Raw genomic sequence first — 6,122 nt, forward strand, 5'->3', positions numbered from 1 at the left:
TTTGAAAAATCTGTCATCAGTCTGATTGTTACTCCTGTGGTTACCCTATTTTCCTCTGGCTTCTTTTAACATTTAAGATTGCCTTTGTATTTATCCTGCTTGGGGTTACTGAGTATCTTGAGTTTGTGGGTTGAAGGCATTAATTTGTTTCTAAAATGATCATACTCTAATATTGCTTCTGCTCCATCACCTTTCTTTTCTCCTTCTGGGTCTTCAGTTGTACATATATTAGAACTTTTCAACATGTTCCACATATCTCTTATACTCTTTTCTCTATTTTTTCATCTTTTAAAAATTCTTTGTGTATCAGTCTTGATATTTTCTGTTGTCCTGTCTTCTACTAATCCTCTTCTACTTCTACTAATCCTACCAGTCTACTTCCATTAGTCCTGTCTCCTGTTGTATTCCATCCATTCTTACATCTGTTGTATTCTAAATATCAGCTACTGTGTTTTCAACTCTGAGATTTATATATTTTTTCTTTAGTGAAATTGTCTATCTTGTTACCTGTTTTCTCTAAAATATTAATAGCTGTTTTAAAGTCTGTGTCTGATACCTCTAATATCTGTATCACCTGGGAATTTTGCCCTTTTTTTTTCTTGGTATGCTTATTACTTTTTAATTGAATGTTGGACATAGTGTGCAACAATTTATAGAAGCTCTGGATTCCATTAACTTCCTCCAGAGACCATTCACCTTATCCTTGGGGCAGCTACAGTGTGAGCAGACTACCTTCATCCAAAGCAGCATGAGGCAGGATTGCAGTCCTTTTACATCTCATTCTCTCTTTGCTTCATGCCCACCCCTAGGGTGTTGCCCTCCTGAGACCCCAGCTAGGGTCCTGAACTCCCATTTTTGTCTCTTCATAACCATGAGATCATAGAAAAACTTCATCTTTTCACTGGCTTTCTTATTAGCTCCTCACCATGTGTATTTAATACATGGGCAAATGCTTCAAGGGAAACCTCTGAGTTTGGGGCTCCTGGCCTCTTGGGTGCTGGCTATCCTGTCAGCTCTATAATTAATTTTTTATTCTCTTCTCCATGAAATTGCTGAAAGATCTGCTGGCTTCTCTGCCTCTTAAAGTAATAGTCCTATGCTCAGATTCCTAGCCTCTCTAAGAACTGGTCATCACCTGGAGGGGTAAATGATGTGCAGAATATCAGCTCATCTCTCTCCAATTCTCTTCTATTTGGAAACTTGGTTCCTTAAGCCCTGGTTATCTGCAGTTGTCCAGTGCCTTCAAACCAGTTTTTTTAATCTGGATTTTCTAGTTGTTCTCAGTGGGGTCAGTGATCTGCTCCAAATACTCCATTATAGCTGGAAATGGAAACTCGAGGAAGGGTAATTTTATAGATGGCACCAAATTGAATGTGTTTCTAGACAGAGTAAAGTGAACACATGAAAATAATTATGACAGCTCCCCCATATTGAGCTCTTACTATGTGCCAGACTTTGTGCTATGTGACTACATATATTATGTCATTTGATTTTTACAGCAAGCTTTTACAGCAAGGCTAGGTACTATATCTATTCCCATTTTACAGATGTGGAAACTGAGGCTTAAAGAGGCTAATTAACTTGTCCAATCAATCTTTTTATCCCCTGGAGGCAAAATGCATAGAAAAAATTTTGACTTTTAAAAAAATTGTGTATACATATGTGTGTGTGTATACATACAGAGAAGTGTGTGTGTGTATATATATATAAAAAACACGATTTGTGATTTTAACAAATTTTAAGTGTACAATTCAGCGGCATTAAGTACATTCACACAATGTTGTGCAATCATCACCACCAACTATTTCCAAAACTTCTTCATTACCCCAGAGATTCTATAGCCATTAAGTAATAACTCCCCTATAATCTCCTATAATCTATAGCCATTAAGTAATAACTCCCCTTTCTTTCTGTTTCTATGAACTGGCCTATTCTAGATATTTCAGGTAAGTGGAATCAGACATTATTTGTCCTTTTGTGTCTGGCTTATTTCTCTTAGCACAATGTTTTCAAGGTTCATCCATATTGTAGCATGTATCAGAACTTTGTGCCTTGTTAAGACTGAATGATATTCCATTGTCTGTGTAAATATCACATTTTGTTTATTCCTCAATCAGCTGGTTAACATTGGGGTTCTTTCCTACTTTTGGCTATTGCAAATAATGCTGCAGTGAACAATGGCATACGAGTATATGTTTGAATCCTGTTTTCAATTCTTTGGGGGATATACCTAGGAGTGGTAATTCTATGTTTAACCTCTGAGGAACCACCAAACTGTTTTCCATAGCAGCTGCGCCATTTTACATTCCCAGCAGTGACGTATGAGGTCTCCAGTTTCTCCATGGCCTCCTCAATACTTACATTCTTTTCTTTCCTAAGTACAGCCATTCTACTATGTGTGAGGTGTATCTCATTGTGGTTTTTGCACTTCCTATTAACTAATGATACAAAGTATATTTTTATGTGCTTATTGGAAATTTGTATATCTACTTTAGAGAAATGTCTATTCGAGTCCTTTGCCCATATTTTGATTGGATTGTTTGTCTTTTTGTTGTTGAGTTGTAGGAGTCCCCTTCTGTATTCTGGATAACCTTTCTTAGATATATGATTTATAAATATTTTCTTCTACTCTGTAGGTGGTATTTTCACTTTCTTGATAATGTCTTTTGATGCACTGAAGTTTTTAACTTTAATAAAGTCCATTTATTTTTTCTTTTGTTGTTTGTGCTTTGGTGTCATATCTAAGAAGCCATCATCAAATCCAAAATCATGAAGATTTACCCCTATGTTTTCCTCTAAGAGTTTTGTTATTTTAGCTCTTATGTTTAAGTTTTTGATCCATTTTTGAGTTAATTTTTGTATATGGTATGAGGTAGGAGTCCAACTTTGTTCCATGAAATAGGCAAATTTATAAAGACAGGAAGTATATTAGTGGTTGACTAGGCTTGGGGGTGTGTAGCAGGAATGAGGAGTGACTGCTAATGGGTATGAGCTTTCCTTCGGGGGTGATAAAAATGTCCTAAACTTAGATAGAGTGATGGCTGCATAACTGTGTGAATATACCAAAACCGCTGAAATTGTACACTTTAAAAAGGTGAATTTTATGCTATGTGAATTACACCTCAATAAAGCTATTGAAACAAACAAAAAGAATAGCTGGAGGCTCTATAATGGGGGACAGGCCTTGCAGCCTCACCTCCTGCTTCTAGGAAAAGGACCTTCCCATGGCTGTGGGCCAGACCCCTGCACTGCCAGGATCATGTTCTAAATTAAACAAGTAGCCCAGGCTCAGGATTCCTTCTCCTCCCCAGTGCCAAGATTTAGATAATAAAGAGTCTTCTTTCATGAACTTTTCCCCAATTTCAGCCCAGGTTCAGATGTTGCTGCCAGCTTTTTATCCTGGCAAAGCAATCACAAGAGGGAAATAAGTCATAGATGGCAGCTTCCTACACCCACTTCTCTTGAGAGTAGATGGAAGCCCTGATGAAAAGGCAGGAGCACTGGCAGCTCAACAAATCCTGGGTGAGGAACCAACATTTGGCCTGGGGCCTCCCTGGTGTCTCCTCCAGGGTGGGAGTGGTGGCACTCAGCTTGTCCCCTGGCACAGGGGGAGCTGCTGTCTTGAGGTGACTTCCTGCTCTGGACTCCCCTGTGGTTGGACCAGACTAGCACTGGGCATGGGGCCCATTTGCTGATGGGCTCACCTTAAGTTTCTACTGGGATATGAACATTTGGACACATGGACAGCTCCTCAGGAGCCCAAATCTCATTGGCTGGTTGCAAGAGGCCTCTTCATGGACGGGGTGGTGGGGGTATTAGAAGGGTGGAAGGATTGGAAGTTCTCTCTCTGTAGAGAACAGCATGGCTTTGGGATGTCAAAAACTGCAGGGAACCTACCATGTTCCTGCACTTGGAGGGTGGAAGAGCTTGGGGCAGGGGTGTCAGCATTCTCTGGCAGGCAGTTAGGGGGCAGTGGTGAGGGGATCTTGTTGGCTTTCCTGGGCATGGGACATTGATAACAAGGTCCAGAAAGGAGGAGACAGCAGACCCTGGTGGAGATTGTGGCTGGCAGATCTGCGTATGGGTCCCCAGGGGGCACCCTGACTCCTTGGTGTGAATGAGGCCCTGGGTTGGAGCTGAAAGCTGGGGGAAGTCTGACTGATGCCACTGTTGTGTGGACCTGGTATGGCCGCTGCTGGAAAGCTCAGGCCTCTCCCAAGGTCCCAAGGCCCCAAAACCTCTCTGACTTTCTGCTTCCCCACCAGGGTGGGCCAAGGGAGCAAAGTGCAGGACTCCTGAGGTCTGCAAAATCACAAAGGAAAAGGATGATGACCCCCCAGGAGGTTGCTCAAGCACGTACAGCCCCTCCTAGCCACAAGCCCTGCATCCCCTCATCTCAGGCACTTGCAGCTCTTTGCCTGGATTTGGCTACCATCACTGGCTGCAGACCTGCTTCGGGGTTTTAATTATAGTCATTAACATGCCCCTATCTGTGGCCATGTCAGCAAGGCCCCTAAGGACCTGACCCCAAGAACAGTGCCTCCCCATCCCTCTCGGGTTCCTCACACAACTCCTTGGGGTATGCAGTCCCCAGAGACATAAGGGTGTTCACCATGTCACCCTGCCCCAGCCCACCTCAGCCAGTTCCTGGTCCCTCCCCAGAAGGAAGCTCCCAACCTCATTTGCTGTGTCTGCACTGAGTCTCTGTGAAGTGTGGACCTCTGCCATGGCTTTCCCAGAGAGTCAAAGGCCGCTTGGCCAGTCTGGGACACAGGCCTTCTCCATGGGGCCACACCTGCCCCTCTACAGTTCAGGCGGGACATGTGCCTGCCTGTTTTTTTATGGCTGGCTGGCGGAAGGGTGGGGTGGGGTGGGGAATAATAACCAGGCTACCCCCACCTCACCCAATAAGGCAATGAGTAGAATGCCTGCCTCCCTGGGCTTCCTCCAGGGACCCAGAGCCTGCAGGCAGAGAGTCTTTGATTCCCAAGAAAAGCTGTTCAGCCAAACTTAGCACAAAATGGCAATTCAGGAGCTGAACTCTACCTAGCAACAAGATTAGCAGCTGATTTTGCAAGCTGGTATTTTTATCCCTGGGATGGGAACAGCTGAGAAGAGTGGCCGCCTCCTGCTACCACAAGGAGCGCTACTCCCTCCTGTGCCACCTGGGGACCCTGCCCCCTCAGCTGCTCCTGGCCCCATGCCTGGCTCTGCCTTCCTTTCTTGCTTGCAGGGGTCTCAGATCCATGGGGGGAGGGTGTGGGGCCTGAGAGCTTCCAGAGGGGAACGTCAGCCCCCAGGTCCGATAGGAACCATGAGATTCTGGAGCTCAGAGGCCCGACTCAGCCTTTCCTCCTCTCCTTGCCGCATCCTGTTTTCTTTTCCTCATCCCTCTGTCCCCAACACCTGAGAGCCTTTGCACTTTCCATGCTGTGCTGCAACAGCCCCTGGCACTTTGTGCCCACCAGACAGAGGGATCTGTGAGGCCAGGGCTCCCTATTCCCCATAAGCACACAGTGGGCTCTTGATAGACATGTGGTCCTCTGGACCACTCCTTCACGTTATCTCCAGTTTCTCTTTCCACCTCCCAGCTCTTCTTTGCTTGCCTTCTCCCCACCCCTCACAATGACCAGAGAACCTTCTGGTAGCCTAAAGTCCTGCTACCTTTTGTGTGGACTACCAATGAACAAAACTGCCATCTTAGGGGCCGTGATGTTGCCTGGTTTTATAGAGAAAATATTATGATGGTAAAATCTCCCAGAAGTGGACTTCCAGTTCCAGAACAAGACGGTACAGACTCACTTTTCCCACATCCTCCCTCCATGGACATAATTCAACAGACACTACAAAGGGACCAAGAAAGCTGGAAAGAAGGTGGCAGACTAGCTAGAAGCCTTGGGACTTGAAAACAACATGATGGTAGGCTCTTGGGCTTTTTATCTCCCACATTCCCCATAATGGGCACAGAGAGCCCTGTAACATGAACTTCCAAGAGGCATTGACAAAACAAATAAACAGAGCTGTCCTCTCTGGCCAAAGGACTGGGGAAAGGGAAGGGAGGCAGTGCTAGGGTTCTGTGCTCCACAAGCAGGACACTGAAGTGAGGGTCAATTCATCCACAG

At 44.8% G+C, this 6,122-nt stretch overlaps 1 annotated feature.

Moving 5' to 3' along the window:
* Positions 5,247 to 5,747: an enhancer, noted in NCBI's record as "H3K4me1 hESC enhancer chr7:44389311-44389811 (GRCh37/hg19 assembly coordinates)". NCBI's record gives its function as "activates a minimal SCP1, AML or CMV promoter by ChIP-STARR-seq in naive H9 embryonic stem cells {active_cell/tissue: H9 hESC(naive)}" and the evidence as "EXISTENCE:reporter gene assay evidence [ECO:0000049][PMID:30033119]".

This window comes from Homo sapiens, chromosome 7 (genome assembly GCF_000001405.40).
Source record: "Homo sapiens chromosome 7, GRCh38.p14 Primary Assembly".
NCBI lineage: Eukaryota > Metazoa > Chordata > Mammalia > Primates > Hominidae > Homo > Homo sapiens.